Source organism: Homo sapiens, chromosome 15 (assembly GCF_000001405.40).
Source record: "Homo sapiens chromosome 15, GRCh38.p14 Primary Assembly".
Lineage (NCBI taxonomy): Eukaryota > Metazoa > Chordata > Mammalia > Primates > Hominidae > Homo > Homo sapiens.
Window position 1 is genome coordinate 43,154,669 of NC_000015.10, and position 24,761 is coordinate 43,179,429.

Here is a 24,761-nt window from a genome sequence, read left to right on the forward strand (position 1 = left end):
TAGAGTCTTGGCCTTTTCCTTATCCTCCATTACTTCTGTCACAGTTAAGATTGATGGAGTTCATTTAGGCCAGGCTGTTCATGTGTCTGGTCCCATTTTCGTACTGAAGTGGAATCCTAGAAACTACAGTAGTGGGACACATAACATAGAAGTAATCGTCCAGGTAAGTTAGTAATTTATATTTACTATGTAAATGATTAAGCTGTAGCCACAATGAATTCTGGTTTGGAATTTTTTAGTCAATTGGTAATGAAACCATGTTTAAAAAAAAACTGGGGGCCGGGCATGGTGGCTCACGCCTGTAATCCCAGCACTTTGGGAGGCCAAGGCAGGCAGATCACCTAAGCATAGGAGTTCGAGACCAGCCTGGGCAAAACAGTGAAACCCTGTCTTTACAAAAAAATACAAAAATTGGCTGGGCACAGTGGCATGTGCCTGTAGTCCCAGCTACTCAGGAGGCTGAGGCAGGAGAATCCACTTGAGCCCAGGAGGTAGAGGTTGCAGTGAGCTGAGATTGCACCACTGCACTCCAGCCTGGGCAACAGAGCCAGACCCTGTCTCAAAATAAACAAAAAAAGTGAAAAAATTGGGGCTGAGGCTGGAGGATCGCTTGAGGCCAGTAGTTTGAGACCAGCCAGGGCAACATAGTGAGACCGCATCTCAACAAAAAAATAAAAGTTAGCTGGGCATGGTGGCGTGCATCTGTAGTCCTAGCTACTTGGGAGGCTGAGATGGAAGGATCGCTTGAGCCCAGGAGTTCAAGGTTATAGTGAGCTCTGATTGTGCCAGTGCACTCTAGCCTGAGTAACAAAGCGAGACCCTATCTCAAAAAATAAATAAATAAAAATAAAAATAAATTGAATACACTGTATTTAGTATATTCTGAAAATGGGCACTTGGAATAATTCTAATATTAGATTAAAAACTAGGCAGAGGAGAAGAGGAGTGGCCATAGACTCCCTTTTTTTAGCCCCAGGAAATCATTCTTGTGTTTTCTTCCAACTTTGCCCAGAATCTTTTCATAATAGGGGCAAATTCCCCAGTATACCCAAAGGTAATAGAATAAGTCAGAAAACATGTATTATGTATCCATGTCTTTGATTGCTGTCTCTAATTGTAGGACAATTGTGTCATTATTTGAAAGCTTCAGGACACAGAATTTTCAGTGCATCAGAAGCACTTTTTTGTTAGAGGAATAAGCATTGTTAGCATATGCAGTACCAGTTTGCCTTTTCTTATTCTGATTCAATTTAGGGCATTTAATTTATTAGCACCTGCCAGAGTAGAAAATAATAATCATTACCAAAATAGAGCAGTTTCATTAAACTCTTAAGGCGATAAGCTGTGCTCAGAAATTAGTTTCTTAAACACACACACACACACACACACCTGTCAATTTCTGCAACTTTATGATTTGATGACAGTTGTTAACTATTTAATCTTCTAATATTAAGACTTAATTTGAAACACTAAATAATTTTTCAGAAAACATATGTAGTTATTTTCATTATCTTTTTTATCCCCCCTACAGAGACAGGTTGAGTAGGAAGAAACTATTTACTGAGCTCCCTCTAAGGAGATGCTAGGCACTTAGAATTTTTTACTTAATCCACAAAACAATCCTTTGTTGGGGGTAGTTTTACCCTTGGTTTGTAAATGGAGAAACTTGTACATCTGCACAAAAGAAGACACTCTGCTATGCCATCCATCTTTAAAATGTTCTGTGTAGAAGGAAGAAAAAACTTACAGCAGAAGTAGAAGGAGAGATAGCTGGGGATGAACCCTTAAGGTCTTTCATATTAGAAGAAGGTGGATCATTTTAAAGAGACTTGAAGGTTCATGTGCACCTAGAATAAATTATTCCCTGTCTTCACAGTCACTACAGTCTGGAGTGCCTCAGAACCCCAGTGTATTATTTTCTTAATAAGATATACATACAACTTCTGTAGTTTTATGAAGAAAAAAAAACCATAGCTTATATTCCTTGAAACATTTCTGGCTGCTTAGTTGAATCCTTAGTAAAAATGTAAAATCACATACTTTTTGTATGTTTAACATTTCTTACAATGGTATCAAGGTATAATTTATACATAATAACATAATAAACCCTGTATATTTAAAGTATACAATTTGGTGAGTTTTGACATATGTATACATCCTTGAAGTCATCGCCTACAAACAATATGATACATTTCCCTCAAAAGTTTTCTTGTATCCTTTGCAATCTGTTTTCCTTACATCCTCATTCTCAGGCAAGGACTGATCTGTTTTCTGTTTTCTTATATGTATAACTTTAAACAACCTACTGAGTATTAAATAGGGAACCTGGTCCCTTCATTCATTCATGGGAAAGTTCTGTCCTTTTAAGTACAGTAAACTGTAGATAAGTCAGATTTGAAACTCAAAATCCGTGGGAGAAGACACTTATTATCTAATATTTTACCTACTCATTGTATTTATTGAATATCTATAGGTTCCCCACAGTCTAGTAGCAACTAGACCTTTAGATCAATTTTCAATGTGGGTCCTGGGCTAGTGGCATCAGTATCACCTGGGAACTTGTTAGAAATGGAAATTCTCAGGTCCCATCTGAAATCTACTGAATCAGAAACTTTGGAGATAGGACCTAGCAATCTAGTTTAACAATCTCTCCAGGTGATTCTGATGTCCACTAAAGTATGAGTATCTGTAGTTTAAGATTATTGTGCCTACTTTGCCAATTTAAAGAGTAGACCCTAGAAAGGTCTAATCTCAAACATTAGAAAAATCTAGATTCCTGCTTTAAAACAATAACATAGTTTAATATAAGCACATTTTGAGCAATAAAAGCTTAAAAAACACAACTGTAAGTTCTTATTGTTATTTTTAAAGTTTTTTTTATAATGGGAAAATTTTAAATATACAAAAGAGATAATATTATAATGAACTCCCATGTATCCATCAGCCAGTCTCAACAATTATCAACTCATGATCAATCTTGTTCCTTCTTTATCCCTATCTCCCCTCCCTGCACCATGATGTCTTTCATCTGTAAATATGTCAATATTTATCAGTAAAATATAAGGACTGTTTTTTAAAAACTTAACCATGATACCATATCATACCTGGAAGACTAACAGTAGTTCCGTAATATCGAACTACCCATTTAATGTTCGGTTATCCCAATATGTTACATAGATAGATAGGCAGATAGATAGATAAATAGATATGTATATTTTCATTTGGTTGGTTCAAATCGGAATTCAATCAAGGCTCTTACATTCTATTTAACCGACTTGTCTCTTTCATCTCTTTTACTGTACAGATTGCATCCCTTACCTCCCCCCTCTTTTTTGTACCCTTAAAATTTATTTGTTTTGGAAACTGAATCTTTGGTCCTGTGGAGTTCCCTGTTTTCTGGATTTTTGCTGTTTACATCCCTGGGGTATCATTTAACATGTTCCTCTGTCCCTGTCCCCTTTAGGTTCTATAATTGGTAGTTAGATTTAGAGGTTTCATCAGATTTACATCTGTTTGTTTTTTGGCAAGAGTACTTTATCTGGTTTTTTATGCTTTTAACAGGATGCCCATAATATTTGGTTGTCTCTCTTTCTATAATGTTAAGATGGATCAGTGTATTCAGCTGTTGGTAGCCTTATCCACTGATGTGCTGGTAAATATTTAGTAACCAGCTTGGGGCAAGTTACAGGGGTCAAGGAGAGGGGATCCTGATTTGTAGCATTTCCCTGATTTGTACCAATCCCCATAATATAAATATTTCTACCATGGCTGGTTTTAAGCTACCAACGCCATGCTAAGTGGCCTGCAAAATTGCTGAAAACTTAACATTTGGCTCTTATGAGCAGTCAAGCCAGCTCCAGCACACTGCTGGCTCATCCCTCCATTATCTTTTCACCTAAGGGTTTTTAGCAGCCATTGATGATACTTACCTAAATCCATTTTTTATTAGAGTTATAAAATGGTGATATTCACATTTTCTTTCCTTATTATAGGAATATTAATTAGAACAGTCCTATGAAGAAAAAAATTATCTTATCTATTTGGTACCCAGATATAAAGTTCACACACAAAATGCAAGATAAATTCTTCTTTCCCCATTGCCCCTTTACTAAAGCAGTTTTCAGAATAATGAGTTGGTTCTTTAGTATCTGCCAAAGGTGACTGAGTCTTTTACATTTAGTAGTATTATAAATTCAAAGTTTAAAAAATATATTGATGTATAAAAAATACTTGATGTATTTCAGTCCATTGCATTTATTATTTTCCATGCTCAAATTGTTCCACCTTTGGCTAGTGGGAGCCTCTTCATGTTGACTACTAAGCCCTTTGACACAATCCCAGTAGTCTTTGTTCGTTTTCTTACTTTCTGATTTGACAAGATATTCCAAGCTTTTCTTATGCATTTTTTTCTTTAAAAAAATTTTTTTTAAAGTTTTACTTTTTGTGAGTACATAGTAGGTGTGTATATCTGTGGGTTACATGAGGTGTTTTGATACAGGCATGCAATGCGTAATAATCACATCATGGAAAATGGAGTATCCACCCTCTCAAGCATTTGTCCTTGTTTTACAAACAGTCCAATTACACTCTTTTAGTTATTTTTAAAAGTACAATTATTATTGACTCTAGTCACTCTGTTGTGCTATCAAATAGTAGGTCTTATTCATTCTTTTTATGCTTTTTGTACTGATTAACCATCCCCACCTCCCTCCCAATGCCCCCTTACTACCCTTTCTAGCCTCTGGTAACCATTCTTCTACTCTCTGTATCCATGAGTTCAATTGTTTTGATATTTGGATCCAACAAGTAAGTGAGAACAAGTGATGTTTGTCTTTCTGTCCCTGGCTTATTTTACTTAACATAGTGGTCTCCAGTTCCATCCATGTTGTTGCAAATGATAGGATCTTATTCTTTTTTGATGGCTGAATAGTACTCTATTATGTATATATACCTCATTTTCTTTATCCATTCATCTGTTGATGGACACTTAGGTTGCTTCCAAATCTTATTGTGAGCAGTGCTGCAACAAACATGGGAGTGCAGATATCTCTTCTTGTGCACTTCCTATTCAAGAACTGGAATGAGCTGTTTCCCTAAAGAGCACTGGTTTCTTGTAGTGAGAAATACTATTTTGAGACCGCAACCTGGGCACCAGCCTAGGTAGCTCATTACTGTTAGCTTTGTTGTTATTTCTAGGCCTTTTTAGGGAACAGAGGGAAATAAAAAAATTTTTTTTAAAGGGAAAATACACGTGAGTGCATGCTAATATTTACTCTTTAAATGTAGAATTATAGGTTTTAATCTCTTTTTTTGTTTTTTTGACAGAGTCTCACTCTGTCACCCAGGCTGGAGTGCAGTGGCGTGATCTCGGCTCACTGCAAGCTCTTCTTCCTGGGTTCAAACAATTCTCCTGCCTCAGGCCCCTGAGTAGCTAGGATTACAGGTGCGTATCACCATGCCTGGCTAATTTTTGTATTTTTAGTAGAGATGGGGTTTCACTATGTTGGCCAGGGTGGTCTTGAACGCCTGGCCTCAAGTGATCCACCTGCCTTGGCCTCCCAAAGTGCTGGGATTACAGGTGTGAGCCACCTTGCCTGGCCTAAGAAATATTATTAAAAGTACTTATAAGGCCAGCACTTTGGGAGGCCAATGCAGGAAGACTGCTTGAGGCCAGGAGTTCAAGACCAGCTTGGGCAACATAGCAAGACCCCATCTCTAAAATAAATTTAAATATTAGCCAGGCGTAGTGGTGTGTGCCTATAGTCCTGCAGCTGTATCAGGAAGATCACTTGACCACAGAAGATGAAAGCTGCAGTGAGCTAGCTATGATTGCACCACTGCACGCCAGCCTGGACAACAGAGAGAAACCTTGAAAAACAACAACAACAACAACAACAACAATAACAACAACAACAAAGTGTAGTTATTAGAAACCTATTCTTATTTTAATTTAGAACATTATAAATATTTCCATGTACATGAAAGTTACTTTTCTTCTGTGGTTATTACTAGGATTCTGCTGGAAGAAGTAAGAGTGTTCACCACATATTTTCTGTTCAAGAGAATAATCATCTCAGTTTTGATCCCCTGGCATCATTTATTCTCCGTACTGATCACTACATCATGGTAAGTGAATTCAATTAAATATTACATATGTTAAATGCAGAGTCCTAAATAATATACAGTAGTCCTCCCTTATCCATGATTTCACTTTCCATGGTTTCAGTTACCGAAGGTCATCCATGGTCTGAAAATATTATATATAATAAGATATTTTGAGAGACAGAGACCATAGTCTTGTAACTTTATTATAGTATATTGTTATAATTGTTCTATTTTATTATTATTGTTGTCGATCTGCTGTGCCTAATTTATAAATTAAACTTTATCATAGGTATGTATTTATAGGAAAAAACATAATATATATAGGGTTCGGTACTATCTGTGTTTTCAGGCATCCACTGGGGGGGACTTGGAATGTGTCCCCTGTGGATAAAGGGGGACTATTGTAAACATATGACAAGAAAGTTGAATCTTATAAAATTAAAGGTTAGTTATTTGTCTAGAAGAATAAAATGCTTTTAAGTTGATTTGAATTAAAAGAAGCAGAGGCATGGATGAGTCATTTGGGATGCTATAAATCCAGGATAACTAAGGGAATTATAACAAAGGATATTAGTTATCATATCGAAGGGAATTATAACTAAGGATGCTATAAAAACAGGATAACTAAGGGAATTATAGGGACTATGCCAACTTGGGTTAAGGCTTTTTAAAGAATATTTCTTTCCACATCAATAATATATGCTCAGTGTAGAAAACTTGGAAAATTTAGAAATAAAGTTAAATCAGCCACACATCTTTCTTTTATCACACTATCCATTATAACCATTGTATTTGTCATTATGATACTCTAATTTTTCTCTCTTATATACACATGTGTATATATATATGTGTGTGTGTATATATGTATTTTGTTTGTTTGCTTGTTTGTTTTTTGTTTTTTCTGGAATCAGAGTTTTGCTCTTGTTTCCCAGGCTGGAGTGCAATAGTGCCATCTCGGCTCACTGCAACCTCCACCTCCTGGGTTCAAGTGATTCTCCTGCCTCAGCCTCCTGAGTAGCTGGGATTACAGGTGCCTGCCACCACGCCCAGCTAATTTTTTGTATTTTTTTAGTAGAGACGGAGTTTCACTGTTGGCCAGGCTGGTCTCGAACTCCTGACCTCAGGCAATCCACCCGCCTCAGCCTCCCAAAGTGCTGGGATTACAGGCATGAGCCACCATGCCCAGCTTGTATATGTATTTTTTTTTGTATATGTATTTTTAACATAAATACTATTATACCTTTATTCTCTTTTGCTGTCTGATTTTTTTCCACTGAGGAATTTGTCTTGACTATTTTCTCTTATCAATTTATATTATAACATATTAGCTGCATTATATTGCCATAGATATGCCTTAATTTTTATTTTATTTTATTTTTTTTGAGACAGAGTCTTGCTCTGTCACCCAGGCTGGAGTACAGCAGTGCGATCTTGGCTCACTGCAACCTCCGCCTCCTGGATTCAAGTGATTCTCCTGTTTCAGCCTCCCAAGTAGCTGGGACTACAGGTGTCCCCGACCACGTCCAGCTTTTTTTTTTTTTTTTCAGTAGAGTCGGGGTTTTGCCATATTGGCCAGGCTGGTCTCGAACTCCTGACCTCAAGTGATCCACCCGCCTCCCAAAGTGCTGGGACTACAGGCGTGAGCCACTGCCCCTGGCCCTTTTTTTTTTTTTGTTGAGCTGGAGTCTCGCTCTGTCTCCCAGGCTGGAGTGCAATGGCACGATCCCGGCTCACTGCAACTTCTGCCTCCTGGGTTCAAGTGATTCTCTTACCTCAGTCTCCTGAGTAGCCAGGATTACCGGCGCCCACCACCATGCCCGGCTAATTTTTGTATTTTTAGTAGAGACGGGGTTTCGCCATGTTGGTCAGGCTGGTCTTGAACTCCTGACCTCAGGTGATCCACCCACCTCAGCCTCCCAAAGTGTTGGGATTACAGCGGTAAGCCACCGCACCTGGCTGCCTTAATTTTTTTAATCACTTCTCTATTGTTGGACATTTAAGTTGTTTCTAATTTGCCCCTCTACTGTATAAATAATGCTTGTAACTAAGTTTTTAGATATCTCTCTAATATAGTTTCTTGGGATCAATTTCTAGAAGTGAATTTCTGGATCAAAGGGTGGGCACACTATTTTATATACTTTACTATTTATATACATAATTACATAAATTATTTATTATTTATAACCATCATTTTTTTTTCCTATCCTCGCTCATTAAAATATAAGCCCCATGAGGGCTTATATTTTGGTATGCTTGGCACATAGTAGGCCCTCAATAAATATTTCTTAAATGAGTAAATGGGTATTTTTTTAGTTTTTAATATACACTGTTAAATTGTCTTTTAGAGAAGCTATGGTAATTTATACTGTAGTTCCCTCAGATCTCATTTATCCTGGGTGTTAGCATAAAATAAAAATAAAAAAAAAGAAATACACTAAAATTTTCAGAAGAAAACTTAAACCTTCCTTAATTTCACCTCCCAGAGATAGGTTTAGTGTATATTCTCACGGACTTAAAATGTGAGATCATTATTATTTTAATTTACTTTTGTTACTTGTATGATTTTTTCAGACATATTATTAATAAGCATTTGCATCTCATTACTACAAAATTTTTAAATCATTTGTTATTTTTTCTTTTGTGGATTTTTAACAGTCACCTAAATTAGGCTTGGGGAATTTTGATATTCAAATGAATAACCTGGATGTTATTAAAATACGGTTCTGGGGCCGGGCTCGGTGGCTCAAGCCTGTAATCCCAGCACTTTGGGAGGCTGAGGCGGGCGGATCACGAGGTCAGGAGATCGAGACCATCCTGGCTAACATGGTGAAACCCCGTCTCTACTAAAAATACAAAAAATTAGCTGGGCATGGAGGTGGGCACCTGTAGTCCCAGCTACTTGGGAGGCTGAGGCAGGAGAATGGCGTGAACCCGGGAGGCGGAGCTTGCAGTGAGCCAAGATCATGCCACTGCACTTCAGCCTGGGTGACAGAGCGAGACTCCGTCTCAAAAAAAAAACAAAAAACAAAAAAACAGGTTGTGGTTTAGCAATTCTGAGAAGGGGACTGAGATTCTGCATTCCTAACAGGCTTTAGTGGATTCCAGTGACGGTCCAGGATCTTACTTTGAGAAACAAGCACCTAGGTCATATGTCACTATTGTGAATTCATCTCCAGGTGAATGACTTCTTGAGAAGAAAGCAAAAGAAAACAGTCTATGTTCACTCAGCCTGCAGTGTAGTCTATACTGTTTTTTTATTCTTATAGAACTTTAAAACAAAACAAAGTATCCTTCTCCCAGTACAATGAAAGTGGACTATTTTAATTTGATTGCTTAATATAATTGTATAAAATTACTTAGCTTCAATATTGGTCTAAGTATCTAAATTCAGAAAGAGCAATGCTGAAGCAATTTATAATTTTCTTTATTGGTGGATCAGATGTTTGATTCCATCTCTTAAAGGCTCCATCTCTTAAAAAGAAAAGACTTAAAGAGTCCATCTCTTAAAAAAACTGATGTTGTGGTTATTATTTTTGATAGGTTTATCTTTTAGTCTTCTTACTCAAGATGTGAGTGGTTTATGTACCACAATTACAGTGTCAGAGTATTCTATATTAGGCTGTATATTTACTGTTGCCAGTGAGTTTTATACCTTCAGATGATTTCTTTTTTCTTTTCTTTTTTTTTTTTTTTGAGATGGGGTCCTCCCAAGTAGCTGAGACTACAGGCACATGCCAATACAACCAGCTAATTTTTACTTTTTTTTTGTAGAGACGGGGTCTCACTTTGTTGCCTAGACTGGTCTTGAACTCCTGGCTTCAAGCAATCCTCCTGCCTCGGCCTCCCAAAATGTTGGAATTACAGGCGTGAATCACTGTGCCTAGACTTCTCATTGCTCATTAACATCCTTTTCTTTCAGACTGAAGAACTTCCTTTAACATTTCTTATAGGACAGGTCTGGTGTTGATGAAATCCCTCAGCTTTGTTTGTTTGGGAAAGTCAGCTTTGTTTGTTTGGGAAAGTCTTTATTTCTCCTTCATGTTTGAAGGATATTTTTGCTGAACATAATATTCTAAGATAAAATTATTTTCCTTCTGAATATGTCATGCCACTTTCTCCTAGCCTTAAGGTTTCCACTGAGAAGTCTGCTGCCAGACATATTGGAGCTCCTTTGCATGTTATTTGTTTCTTCTCTCTTGTTGCTTTTAAGATCCTTTCCTTATCATTGCCCTTTGGGAATTTGGTTAATAAATGCCGTTAGGTAGTCTTATTTGGGTTAAAACTTCTTGGTGTTCTATGACCTTCTTGTACCTGAATATTGATATATTTCTTTAGGTTAAAAAAGTTCTCTATTATTATTTTTTGAATAAACTTCCTACTCTGATCTCTCTCTGTACCTCCTCTTTAAGGCCAATAACTCTTAGATTTGTCCTGTTGAGGCTGTTTTCTAGATCTTGTAGGTGTGCTTCATTCTTTTTTTTTTTCCTTTTTTTCTCCTCTGTGTATTTTCATATAGATGGTCTTTAAGCTCACTAATTCTTTCTTCTATTTGATGAGTTCTGCCCTTGAGAAATTCTGATGCATTTGTCAGTTTGTCAATTTAATCTTTCAGCTTCAGAATTTCTGCTTTGATTTTTTAAAATTATTGTAATGTCTTCATTAAATTTCTGTGATAGGAGGCTGGGTGCGGTGGCTCACGCCTGTAATCCCGGCACTTTGGGAGGCCGAGGTGGGCGGATCACAAGGTCGGGAGATAGAGAACATCCTGGCTAACACAGTGAAACCCCATCTCTACTAAAAATACAAAAAATTAGCCCGGTGTGGTGGCGGGCACCTGTAGTCTCAGCTACTCGGGAGGCTGAGGCAGGAGAATGGCATGAACCCAGGAGGCGGAGCTTGTAGTGAGCCAAGATTGCGCCACTGCACTCCAGCCTGGGTAACAGAGCAAGACTCCGTCTCAAAAAAAAAATAAAATAAATTAAATAAAAAATAAATAAATAAATAAATAAATAAATTTCTGTGATAGGAATTTGAATTCCTTTTCTGTGTTTTCAAGAAGTTCATTGAGCTTCCTCAAAACAGCTATTTTGAATTCTCTGTCTGAAAGTTCACATAACTCTGTCACTCCAGGAATGGTCTCTGGTGCCTTATTTAGTTCATTTGGTGAGGTCATGTTTTCCTGGATGTTCTTGAGGCTTGTGGATGTTTGTCAGTGTCTGGGCCTTGAAGAGTTAGGTATTTATTCTAATCTTTGTAGTCTGGGCTTGTTTGTACTCATCCTCCTTGAGGAGGCTTTCCAGGTATTCAAAGAATTGAGGGTTGTGATCTAAGTCTTTGGTCACTGCAGCCATATCTGTACAAGGGGGTGCCCCAAGCCCAGTAATACTGCAACTCTTGCAGCCTTACGTGGGCTTGGTGGGCTTGGGTAAGAACTGGGAGAATTCTCTTGATTACCAGGCAGAGTCTTTTGTTTTCTTTTCTTTTTTTTCTTTCCAGAGATTTTATTTGTTTTGGTGGCAGAGACAGAGTAGACTGTGCTTACTTCGTTTTAACAAGAACCATAACCCCAAATCTCTAACATACCAAAGTAGAGGGAATCATACAGCAAACACCTATGTATCCATTGCCCATATTAGATTGCATCTTTTCTTTTAAACAGAATATCTGAGGATTGCCATGTTTCTAATATGTTAAATACAGGACTGGTTTGTGTCAGAGTGCAAATCAATTATTCCTGAAATGATGGAGAGATATTTCACCAACTTGTTCTCCTTGAGGTTTTTCTTTTTTTTTTTTTTTTTATTGATCATTCTTGGGTGTTTCTCGCAGAGGGGGATTTGGCAGGATCACAGGACAATAGTGGAGGGAAGGTCAGCAGATAAACAAGTGAACAAAGGTCTCTGGTTTTCCTAGGCAGAGGACCCTGCGGCCTTCCGCAGTTTTTGTGTCCCTGGGTACTTGAGATTAGGGAGTGGTGATGCCTTCAAGCATCTGTTTAACAAAGCACATCTTGCACCGCCCTTAATCCATTCAACCCTGAGTGGATACACCACATGTTTCAGAGAGCACAGGGTTGGGGGTAAGGTCACAGATCAACAGGATCCCAAGGCAGAATAATTTTTCTTAGTACAGAACAAAATGAAAAGTCTCCCATGTCTACCTCTTTCTACACAGACACGGCAACCATCCGATTTCTCAATCTTTTCCCCACCTTCCCCCCTTTCTATTCCACAAAACCGCCATTGTCATCATGGCCCGTTCTCAATGAGCTGTTGGGTACACCTCCCAGACGGGGTGGTGGCCGGGCAGAGGGGCTCCTCACTTCCCAGTAGGGGCGGCTGGGCAGAGGCGCCCCTCACCTCCCGGACTGGGCGGCTGGCCAGGCGGGGGGCTGACCCCCCCACCTCCCTCCCGGACGGGTCGGCTGGCCGGGCGGGGGGCTGACCCCCCACCTCCCTCCCGGATGGGGCGGCTGGCCGAGCGGGGGGCTGACCCCCCCACCTCCCTCCCGGACGGGGTGGCTGCCGGGCGGAGACGCTCCTCACTTCCCAGACGGGGTGGCTGCCGGGCGGAGGGGCTCCTCACTTCTCAGACGGGGCGGCTGCTGGGCTGAGGGGCACCTCACTTCTCAGACGGGGCGGTTGCCAGGCAGAGGGTCTCCTCACTTCTCAGACGGGGCGGCCCGGCAGAGACGCTCCTCACATCCCGGACGGGGCGGCAGGGCAGAGGCGCTCCCCACATCTCAGACGATGGGCAGCCGGGCAGAGACGCTCCTCACTTCCTAGATGGGATGGCGGCCGGGAAGAGGCGCTCCTCACTTTCTAGATGTGATGGCGGCCAGGCAGAGACGCTCCTCACTTTCCAGACTGGGCAGCCAGGCAGAGGGGCTCCTCACATCCCAGACGATGGGCGGCCAGGCAGAGACGCTCCTCACTTCCCAGACGGGGTGGCGGCCGGGTAGAGGCTGCAATCTCGGCACTTTGGGAGGCCAAGGCAGGCTGCTGGGAGGTCGAGGTTGTAGCGAGCCGAGATCACGCCACTGCACTCCAGCCTGGGCACCATTGAGCACTGAGTGAACGAGACTCCGTCTGCAATCCCGGCACCTCGGGAGGCCGAGGCTGGCGGATCACTCATGGTTAGGAGCTGGAGACCAGCCCGGCCAACACAGCGAAACCCCGTCTCCACCAAAAAAATACGAAAACCAGTCAGGCGTGGCGGCGCACGCCTGCAATCGCAGGCACTCGGCAGGCTGAGGCAGGAGACTCAGGCCGGGAGGTTGCAGTGAGCCGAGATGGCAGCGGTACAGTCCAGCTTCGGCTCGGCATCAGAGGGAGACTGTGGAAAGAGAGGGAGAGGGAGACCGTGGGGAGAGAGAGGGAGAGGGAGAGGGAGAGGGAGACGGAGACGGAGAGGGAGAGGGAGAGGGAGAGGGAGAGGGAGAGGGGTCTTTTGTTTTCTTTCCTCACTTTTCCCCAAGCAGAAGGAGCCTCTCTCTTTGCTGGCCTGCCTGGATATGTGGGAGAGGTGACCACAGTTTGTACCGTTCTGGGTCACACCTGAATTCACCATAGTACTGGGTCTTGTCCAAGTTCTGTGGTGACTACTGCTTGGCTACTGCTGATGTTTATTCAAGGCCCAGGGGCTCTTTAGTCAGCAGATGGTGAATCTTGCCAGGACATGGTCTTTCTCTTCAACACAGCAGGTTTTCTTCTGGCCCAGGCTGAGTCTAGAAATGCCATCCAGGAGTGAGGGCCTGGGCTCAGAGGCTTCAGGAATCTGCTTGGTGCTTTATTTTTACTGTGGCTGAGCTGGTACCCAGGTGGCAAAACAAAGTCCTCTTTACTTTTCTCTCTTGTTTCCACAAGAGGAAGGAGTCTCTCTTTGAGCTGCACTGCCTGGAGAGTTGGGGGATGGGTGACACAAGTACTCCCCTGGCCACCACAACTGGTGTCTCACTGGGTCTTGTGCACTCCATTTCCACTGGCTCTGAGCCCAACATAGTACCCAGATTTGCCCAAGGACTGCAGTCCTTGTGGCTTGACTGCCTTTCAAGTTTATTCAGGACCCTAGGGCACTTGTTTAGTCAGCTGGTGCTGGAGCTAGCTGGAACTCAGGTTCCTACCACTGGGGCAGAGGATTGCCCTCTGGCAAGGGCCAGCTTAAATGCTCCCTCTGTGGGTGCTGGCAGAATTCTGCCCTGTGTTGTGTTCCCCTGTGACAGCACTGAGTTCCAACGCAAAGTCTCACAGTCATTTTGCTCTCTCCCACAAGTGCACAGATTATCTCTGCCACAGAATGGGGGAAGGGTGGTGTAGGCAATGAAGTACTGTGTTGTCTACGCTTTTTAGTGCCTCTTTCCTTGATATGATGTTAAAACCAGGTACTGTGATCACTCATCTGATTTTTGGTTCTTATGAAAGTGCTTTCTTGTGGGGATAGTTGTTCAATTTGGTGTTCTGAGGGGAAAGGGGTGGATGATTGCTGGAAGGTTCTATTTGGCCATCTTGCTTTACCTCCTCCAAAAGGGGCTTGTTATGAATAACAATAGGTATTCCTTTTACTTTATCACTCTAGAGCTGTTTTAGGAGCCAGAGACAAAATCCAAATGTTATAACAATATGCTCCTATCCTTGTTATCACTTAGAAAATTACAAGGATTTTAGGAGCTCTGACCAGTGGGGACAAAGACCAAAATATGTATTTCTTATATCACAGTATCACAGATGCCATTTCCATTTTTGTTAATAAGGCTACTTTAAAAATCTTAACTGAAAGTGTACCCATGTATCTATTTCACGTTAACATCTATTTCCCTGCAGGCCCGGGTCCTTTTTGTGCTGATTGTGCTGAGCCAGCTCACCATTCTCATTATTTTTAGATATCGAGGATACCCAGAGCTTAAAGGTTAGTTATGGTTCCTTTTATTCCTATAAGCCTTGTTCATGGAAAAAACCAAACTCCGTAAAATATTTTAAAGAGGTTTATTCTAAGCCAATATGAATGACCATGGCCCAGGGAAAACACAAACTCAAGAAGCCTTGAGTAAATGGTCCTGAGGCAGTTGGATTACAGTTGGGATTTATACATTTTATGGAGGCAGGGGTTATAGGAAAAGACATAAAGCAATACATGGAAGGTATGCATTGCTTCGGCCCCAAAAGTTGGGATATCTTGAAGTGGGGGCTTACAGGTTTTACGGGGATTCAGAGATTCTTTAATTTGCAATTGGTTAAAGGACTGAGGCTCTGTCTAAAACTTGTCAGCAGAAAGGAATGTTTACGTTAAGATAAGGATGCTAGGTCAGCCACAATATACTGGGTGAAAAATGACCTGTTTAGGAAGATTGATGTCCTGCAGGCATTATATCTTGTTTATAATTTGGTATCTTATTGTGACAGAGTCTGTTTTGTCAGTCTTATGATCTCTATTTTAACATTAATGATGGTCTGTTGTTGTGCCCAAACTCTAAAAGGGAGGGAGTATGACAAGGTGTGTCTGACCTCCCTTTCCATCGTGGCTGAGAACTCAATTTTTAAGGTTTCTTTGGGGTCCCCTTGGCCAAGAGATATCCCAAAATTAGTTCAAGGTCAAAAAAGATTTAATTTATAACTTGATCCTTGGGAGGCATGCCAAAGATGTCAAAAGGTTTAAAACACTTGGTCAGAATAGGAATAGATGTCATTGTGAAGTAATAGTCACTCACTTAAACAGAGAGACAATTAAAAGACTTCATAAACAATGCAGAAAGTTCTGTGGCTGTAAACAAAAACCTTTCAAAGCTCAGTTTTCCTAAGAAATTAAAAAAAAACTAATAAGGATAATATGAAACATAGGAAATTATCTTGATAATATGTAAAATCTTTGTTTCTTAGGTCAGTTCCCAAAAAAGTAAAGAAAAAAACCTTCCTGAAGTGTGATTGCTCCTCCTTATGGGAAGCCTGTTTAGATAACCTGGAAGTGAAACCTGATGGAAAGATACTTAAATATAATCAGACATAGGAAGAGCATGCATCCAAGGTTATATGTACACACTATATTATAGAGGGACATAAACAAGAAAACTAGTACCTTGAGCAGGGGAATACAGCGCTCTTAGAAAAAGCATGGGAAATTTCCTGGTTATATGGGCAATTCAGAAACATCAAGAAAAGCCAAGAGTACAGAATCAAGTTATATCGGAGGAAAACACTGGCCTATAAACTCTAAAGCTGCAGTTCAGAAGATGCTTGAAAATTAAATTTTAAAGAAACAGATTTTAGAATTAAGTCAAAACCTCTTATGGTTGGGCACAGTGGCTCACGCCTGTAATCTCAGCATTGTGGGAGGCCGAGACGGGCAGATCACCTGAGATCAGGAGTTCAAGACCAGCCTGGCCGACATGGTGAAACCTCATCTCCACTAAAAATACAAAAATTAGCCAGGCATGGTGGCACACACCTGTAGTCCTAGCTACTCGGGAGGCTGAGGCATGAGAATTGCTTGAACTTGGGAGGCAGAGGTTGCAGTGAGCCGAGATCATGTCACTGCACTCCAGCTTGGGCAACAGAGCGAGACTCTGTCCTTAAAAAAAAAAAAAAAGTTCCCTTCAAATTCCAACCATCCTGATGATATAAAACTTCCATTACAGGACCCATCCTTCATAAACCTTCCACAACTTGCTTAGACCTTCCATTATTCTCCTAAACTCCTAGTCTTTGTCCTGTATTTTCCCCACTTTTATATTGGAATAACTAATTATTTTACCATAAGACAAAAAAATTACTTAAAATTTTTTTATTCCTTTATATTGAGACCACATAAAATTCTTTCTCATATAAAAACAGTTTCATATTAATAAAAACTTTTTTTTTTTTTTTTTTTTTGTGTGTGTGTGACCTGGAATTTCGCTCTGTCCCCCAGGCTGGAGTGCAGTGGCGCAATCTCAGCTCACTGCAAGCTCTGCCTCCTGGGTTCATGCCATTCTCCTGCCTCAGCCTCCCAAGTAGATGGGACTACAGGCGCCCACCACCACGCCTGGCTAATTTTTTGCATTTTTAGTAGAGACAGGGTTTCACCATGTTAGCCAGCTTGGTCTCAATCTCCTAACATCATGATCCACCCGCCTCAGCCTCCCAAAGTGCTGGGATTACAGGCATGAGCCACTGTGCCCAGCCTTAATAAAAACTTAATTTTTAGTAACCTTAAGCTTTAGGTTACTCTGGAAGTAAGTAATTTTGAACTGTTATATATTAACATCTCATGAATATATAGTTTATAATCTCTAAAAAAAATTTTTTATGGAACAATTTTTGAATGTGGAGTTTACTATTTACTAATAGACCCAAGTATGTTTTGTCTTTCTATGCAATTTAAGAAACCAAGAACCAACTTATACTAATGTTTAGCAATTTATGTTTCAGTATTTTATCTTACTTAGAAATGACTCAGACATTTCATGAGTATCTATTACTTAATTTAATATAATGTAACTTTAGGATTTAAAATCACATGAAAAGTTCATTTATAAATTTATCCCATTTACATTCATCTAACTTATTTTTTAACTACACATAGATTACTTATGAAAACTAAGATATTAGATAGAGTTAGTCATTATGTCAAGGTATCTTTCTGTTAATCAGTTTTACAGCATGTGAATTTCGGGTGTTCACCTAAGTAGAAATCTTAAAGCTAATTATATAAATATTTTGCCAAAAACTGAAAACAGCTATCTTCATTAAATCAACTATATTAAATTAGTTTTACTTATCAAAGAGTTACACAAAGATCATTCTGATTTTAGGCTGGATATATAGTTTTGTGACCTTTTGGTCAAATCCTGCTTAAAACATCTAGCACAGAGAAATGCAAAACTATCTGATCAGTAAACCCAGGCAAAAAATGTATGCTGACAATTCTGAAGACATTTCTGTTTTTATCAACAAATTTAAAATCAGGTATTTTATGAAAGATTTACTTAAGTCACATGAACTTTCAGGCATTTGAAATCACTATATTTTGATAGAAAAATATATACATATACTGATATTAAAAAAATAAAAACATATAGACTATCAAAAATAAAGACCTTACAGGAAGACCTTACTACAGTTTTTACCTTAAAAATCTAGTCATTTTTCAGTAAGCATCAGTCTTCACTCCTAATGGCAACATATTAAAACTCATTAATTCAGGCCAGGTGCAGTGGCTCATGCCTGTAATCCCAGTACTTTGGGAGGCCAAGGTGGATGGATCACTTGAGGTCAGGAGTTCTAGAGCACCGTGGCCAACATGGTGAAACCTTGTCTCTACTAAAAATACAAAAAATAGCCGGGTGTGGTGGCATGCACCTGTAATCCCAGCTACTCAGGAGGCTGAGGTTGCAGTGAGCCAAGACTGCGCCACTGCACTCCAGCCTGGGCAAAATAGTGAGACTCCATCTCAAAAAAACAAAACAACCCATTAATTATTTCTTCAAATGTTCCTTTTCCTTTTGAGAGGTCACCAATGCCATGTCAGTATCACCTCTCTGGATTCCTGAATAGACTCCTAACTGCTGCTCTTATATCCAGTCTCTCTATCTAATTCATCCTCTTCATTATTAGCCAATTATCCTTCTTATGGCATCTCATCCATAGATCACTTCTGTATGCAAAAGCCTTAAGTGGCTTTCCAGAACACACTGAATAAAGGTCAGACATCTCTGCAAGACACTAAAAATCTTCCACAGTCTAGTCTTATTTAACTAGCCATGTCTTCAACCAGTTACCTGTATTTTAGCCTAGATACTTTTTCACTGTTCCCTATACGTGCCATGCTCATTTCTGCTTCTGTATTTTTCTCATAGTATTATCCCTACTTTAAGTTATTTTTCTAAACTTATCTAAATCTTAGCCTCCTGTAAGGCTTACCTGAAGACCTCCTTTATCATACTGTTTTCTCCAGCCATTCCAGGTCATAATGAGCTCTTGCTTATCTGAATCCCTATAGTCCTTTCTCACAATTAATTCTATACTTAATTAGACAGCCACTTTGCTTTATATAACCACTTCGAATGTATATACATTTTCTCCTTAACCAGATAAGTTCCTCAATGCAGGAACTTTTTTTTTTTTTTTTTTTTTTTAGACAGTCTCGCTGTGAACCCCAAGCTGGAGTGCAGTGGTATGATCTCAGCTCACTGCAATCTCTGCCACATGGGTTCTCAAGCAATTCTCTTGCCTCAGCCTCCCAAGTAGCTGGGACTACAGACATGCACCACCACACCCAGGTAATTTTTGTATTTTTTTTTTAGTAGAGATGGGTTTCACCATGTTGGCCAGGCTGGTCTCAAACTCCTGACCTCAGGTGGATCCGCCTACCTCAGACTCGCAAAGTGCTGGGATTACAGGCTTGAGCCACTGTGCCTGTCTTCAATGCAGGAACTCTTGCTTCCTAATTCTCTTCTGTTTCCCACAGCCCCCAGCACCAAATTTGTGTATAATAGACAATAAATACTTGTTGAATCAAATTTTCCTGATCCCTTCTTAATTTGGATGAAATCCCTGGGATTAAGGACTGATGATAGAGAAGGGGAGTATTGTAGTAATGATTAAACAGTAACATGATTAACTGAATAGGTACAGTACACATCCTACTGAATGTTTTTCTTCTTATATTTATTTTAAAAATTCTACGAAAAAGTTCAAGAAGCATTATTATACATGTGTATTTTCCTGAACATAATGTAAGTAAATAAATATTTGAAGTCCCCAGCCTCTTATATGGGGGCTCTCAATATTTTTATATAGTTATTTAAATTTGAAACATATTTTAACCTACATTGTTTCACTTAATCCTTAAAACAATCATGTGAGGTAGGTGCTATTGACCCCATTTTAAAGATTAGAAAACAAAGGTTTTGGGAGGTTATGTAAATTGTCCAAGGTTTCATAGCTAATAAGAGATAGAGGAGAGACTCCAAACCCAAGGCTTCTGACCCCAGGTCAGTTCTTTCCTCTAAACAAGACTTTTCCACTTTGGTCGTACCTTAGAAACTGCTGGGGGAACTTCTGAAATTTCAATAGCTATAACAGCATTCTATACCAATTACATCAGAATCTCTAGGGTGGGACCTAAGCATCAGTATCTTTTAAAGCTCCCTGGATGATTCCAATGTGCAGTCAAGACTGAGAAGCACGGCTTTGTCTAAAGCAGTATTTCTCAATCCTGACTGCTTAGAATCACTGGGTTGCTGCCTAAGATCTCCCTCTACCCCAGGCAAATTAAATCAGAATCTCTGGAGGGTGAGATACAAGCATGAGTATTTTCTAAAAGTTCCCCTAGGTTATTCTAATGTGCAGCCAAAATGGAGAATAATTACTTAAAATTTAAAGAATAGCTGCCTCTAAGGCTAAAGGATTTTTTAAAATAATAAATAATTATTATTCTATCTGAATATGTAGGCTAATACTTTGAGAAGTACAGACTAGAACAAAAAAGAAGCTGAGAGAGTAACACAAAGTAGGAAAGGTCATGCATTATCAGGCTTTGCATAAAATGAAGTGTTAGGCTGAGCAAGGTTATAAGTATAAAATGAATGTGCTGGTCTTTTAGCAAAGACATGACTTATTTAACTTACATCAGACTGTCTTTCATTGAGACTAGTCCTTTAAATATTTTTTACCAGTAGTGTTGCTCAGTGTATACTGAACTTCCTTTCATAGTCCTCAGCTGACTGGTTTATGGCCAGCCACATGCATGGGTGACATGGCTGGTTGGGGCTGAGGATCTGTGGTACTGTAGACTGTGGCCGCAGAATGGAGCTTCTCTGAGTCAAGCCCTTACACTTGGGCTTTTTGGCACTGTATTTTAAAAGCACGTTAATTTGGAAAGTTTAGGGAAGCCTTTCAGTTGGAGTAAGAGGTTAGCTGTGCGTTAAGAACTGTAGAAATAGGGAAAGCGCTGGCAGCCAAGATGGCCGAACAGGAACAGCTCCGGTCTACACCTCCCAGCGTGAGTGACACAGAAGACGGGTGATTTCTGCATTTCCATCTGAGGTACCAGGTTCATCTCACTAGGGAGTGCCAGACAGTGGGCGCAGGACAGTGGGTCCAGCGCACCGTGCGTGAGCCGAAGCAGGGCGAGGCATTGCCTCACTCGGGAAGCGCAAGGGGTCGGGGAGTTCCCTTTCCTAGTCAAAGAAAGGGGTAACAGAGGGCACCTGGACAATTGGGTCACTCCCACCCTAATACTGCGCTTTTCTGATGGGCTTAAAAAACAGCGCACCAGCAGATTATATCCCGCACCTGGCTTGGAGGGTCCTACACCCACGGAGTCTCGCTGATTGCTAGCACAGCGGTCTGAGATCAAACTGCAAGGCAGCAGTGAGGCTGGGGGAGGGGCGCCCGCCATTGCCCAGGCTTGCTTAGGTAAACAAAGCAGCCGGGAAGCTCGAACTGGGTGGAGCCCACCACAGCTCAAGGAGGCCTGCCTGCCTCTGTAGGCTCCACCTCTGGGGGCAGGGCACAGACAAACAAAAAGACAGCAGTCACCTCTGAAGACTTAAATGTCCCTGTCTGACAGCTTTGAAGAGAGCAGTGGTTCTCCCAGCACGCAGCTGGAGATCTGAGAATGGGCAGACTGCCTCCTCAAGTGGGTCCCTGACCCCTGACCCCCGAGCAGCCCAACTGGGAGGCACCCCCAGTAGGGGCAGACTGACATCTCACACGGCCGGGTACTCCTCTGAGACAAAAGTTCCAGAGGAACGATCAGACAGCAGCATTCGCGGTTCACGAAAATCCGCTGTTCTGCAGCCACCACTGATGATACCCAGGCAAACAGGGTCTGGAGTGGACCTCTAGCAAACTCCAACAGACCTGCAGCTGAGGGTCCTGTCTGTTAGAAGGAAAACTAACAAACAGAAAGGACATCCACACCAAAAACCCATCTGTACATCACCATCATCAAAGACCAAAAGTAGATAAAACCACAAAGATGGGGAAAAAAACAGAGCAGAAAAACTGGAAAACTCTAAAAAGCAGAGCGCCTCTCCTCCTCCAAAGGAACACAGTTCCTCACCAGCAATGGAACAAAGCTGGACGGAGAATGACTTTGACAAGTTGAGAGAAGAAGGCTTCAGACGATCAAACTACTCCGAGCTACAGGAGGAAATTCAAACCAAAGGCAAAGAAGTTAAAAACTTTGAAAAAAATTTAGACAAATGTGTAACTAGAATAACCAATACAGAGAAGTGCTTAAAGGAGCTGATGGAGCTGAAAGCCAAGGCTCGAGAACTACGTGAAGAATGTAGAAGCCTCAGGAGCCGATGCGATCAACTGGAAGAAAGGGTATCAGCGATGGAAGATGAAATGAATGAAATGAAGCGAGAAGGGAAGTTTAGAGAAAAAAGAATAAAAAGAAACGAGCAAAGCCTCCAAGAAATATGGGACTATGTGAAAAGACCAAATCTGCTATGTGAAAAGAAGACACTTATGCAGCCAAAAAACACATGAAAAAATACTCACCGTCACTGGCCATCAGAGAAATGGAAATCAAAACCACAATGAGATACCATCTCACACCAGTTAGAATGGCAATCATTAAAAAGTCAGGAAGCAACAGGTGCTGGAGAGGATGTGGAGAAATAGGAACACTTTTACACTGTTGGTGGGACTGTAAACTAGTTCAACCATTGTGGAAGTTGGTGTGGTGATTCTTCAGGGATCTAGAACTAGAAATACCATTTGACCCAGCCATCCCATTACTGGGTATATACCCAAAAGACTATAAATCATGCTGCTATAAAGACACATGCACATGTATGTTTATTGTGGCACTATTCAGAATAGCAAAGACTTGGAACCAACCCAAATGTCCAACAACGATAGACTGGATTAAGAAAATGTGGCACATATACACCATGGAATACTATGCAGCCATAAAAAATGAGTTCATGTCCTTTGTAGGGACATGGATGAAATTGGAAATCATCATTCTCAGTAAACTATCGCAAGGACAAAAAACCAAACACCGTATGTTCTCACTCATCGGTGGGAATTGAACAATGAGAACACATGGACACAGGAAGGGGAACATCACACTCTGGGGACTGTTGTGGGGTGGGGTCAGGGGGAGGGATAGCATTAGGAGATATACCTAATGCTAAATGACGAGTTAATGGGTGCAGCACACCAGCATGGCACATGTATACATATGTAACTAACCTGCACATTGTGCACATGTACCCTAAAACTTAAAGTATAATAATAAAAATTAAAAAAAAAGAACTGTATAATGTATAGGAAAGGACCATATTTGGACAGATACTCATATTTATGATTAGAATGAAGATATTTTGATATTTCTTTTAATTTACTTTTGAAGTATTTTGATATACCTTTTTGAAGTTTGTACATTTGGACACTAAATTCCATAGAAAACAGAGACTTGATCATCCTTTGAACAAACCACTATCTTTCAAACCTATATAAAGATAAAATAGTATGGTGCTCTGGTAGGTGTGTCCATTGCTTTCAGTTATTATATATATATGTATATGTACATATATGTGCATATATATATGAGTTCGATATATTGTGATATATATAACAATTATGTATCTTATGATATATATAAAATATCTCACAACTACACCATTTCTTCGAACTCTCTGCCTTTTGCAATTCTAAGTGAACTGTCTCACCAGGATTCCTGCCAAATTCTGAATTTAAAGTGGTGTCATCTGTATAGTTACCATCTAACAAAGGATTTGCTGAATATATGGTAGATAGCCCATGAAAATCTTCTAGAAAATGTCATAAAGAAACTGAACTTTGCATGTGTTCACTGGGTTTTTCAACTTTATGTTTTTTAGAACCTTCAGGGTTTATAAATCTGACCTCATTTTCTCTTCATGTCTTGAGCAAAATAAACATCTTCTACTATTCTGTGTTGTTGTTGACCCTGTATACAGTGCTGGGTAAGTAAATTAGTACAGATTATGGGGAATTTTGCCAAAGAATATATTAACAATTTTGACAATAGAATTAGACTCTTGAGGGTATAACAAATGGCTCATGGATTCTTCATAAATCATTTTCTGGGACATGGTTTTGGAAAATAAAGCTCGTGCCTAACATGTTTAAAGGACATTTAGTTAACACCAAGTTAACTTAAGGGTGCTGAGAAGACTGCTACAGAATTAGTATTTGTGTAGAAACCTAATAGAAGCTTAAATAGCACCTCCTCAGAGCAACCTTCTTTGTCTATCTTAAAGTTTTAGTCTATATCTCATCACAGGTTTTACTTCCATCATTACCTTTATCAGAATTTATACCTATCTTCTGTGTTTATTATCTATTAACTCATTAAAATATTCACTGGTAGGCGGGTACGGTGGCTCATGCCTGTAGTTCCAGCTACTTGGGGGCTGAGGCGAGAGTACTGCTTGAGTCCAGGAGGTCAAATCCAGCCTGGGCAACACAGCAAGACGCCATCTAAAAAAAAAGTATATATATCTATCCATTGGTATTTTGCCTATTTTGCTTAGTATGTAGTTCATTGAATATTTACTAATGTGTGGCTCTCAAAAATTCAGCTCAAAAAAGAGAGAAACTGAGATGAGCAATAGTTCAGGCATATCTGCACTCTTCTGTTGTATTATTATACCCAGTAGTATCATGTGGCATATGACAAAC

The 24,761-nt window shown here is 40.2% G+C and overlaps 1 protein-coding gene across 41 annotated transcripts in view, besides 2 other annotated features; it reads left to right on the forward strand.

Annotated features, from left to right (window-relative positions):
- The window catches only part of TMEM62 (transmembrane protein 62), a 52,030-nt gene that overhangs the window by 21,554 nt on the left and 5,715 nt on the right, over nt 1-24,761 (forward strand). For 21 of the 41 annotated variants that reach the window (NR_144541.1, NR_144543.2, NR_144542.2 and 18 more), the window contains 3 exons: nt 4-163; nt 6,013-6,126; nt 14,925-15,009. Coding sequence is in view for 37 of the 41 variants with exons in the window: in NM_001347024.1 (NP_001333953.1) it covers nt 4-163; nt 6,013-6,126; nt 14,925-15,009 (359 nt within the window). In the remaining 4 variants the exon portion in view is untranslated. Of the gene's footprint in view, nt 1-3; nt 164-6,012; nt 6,127-14,924; nt 15,010-23,938; nt 24,044-24,761 lie in introns of all 41 variants that reach the window. The other 20 variants (NM_001347004.1, NM_001347009.1, NM_001347008.1 and 17 more) reach the window with 1 other exon arrangement.
- Nucleotides 12,547-13,243: an enhancer, noted in NCBI's record as "H3K27ac-H3K4me1 hESC enhancer chr15:43459413-43460109 (GRCh37/hg19 assembly coordinates)". NCBI's record gives its function as "activates a minimal SCP1, AML or CMV promoter by ChIP-STARR-seq in naive H9 embryonic stem cells {active_cell/tissue: H9 hESC(naive)}" and the evidence as "EXISTENCE:reporter gene assay evidence [ECO:0000049][PMID:30033119]".
- Nucleotides 20,850-21,350: an enhancer, noted in NCBI's record as "H3K4me1 hESC enhancer chr15:43467716-43468216 (GRCh37/hg19 assembly coordinates)". NCBI's record gives its function as "activates a minimal SCP1, AML or CMV promoter by ChIP-STARR-seq in naive and primed H9 embryonic stem cells {active_cell/tissue: H9 hESC(naive and primed)}" and the evidence as "EXISTENCE:reporter gene assay evidence [ECO:0000049][PMID:30033119]".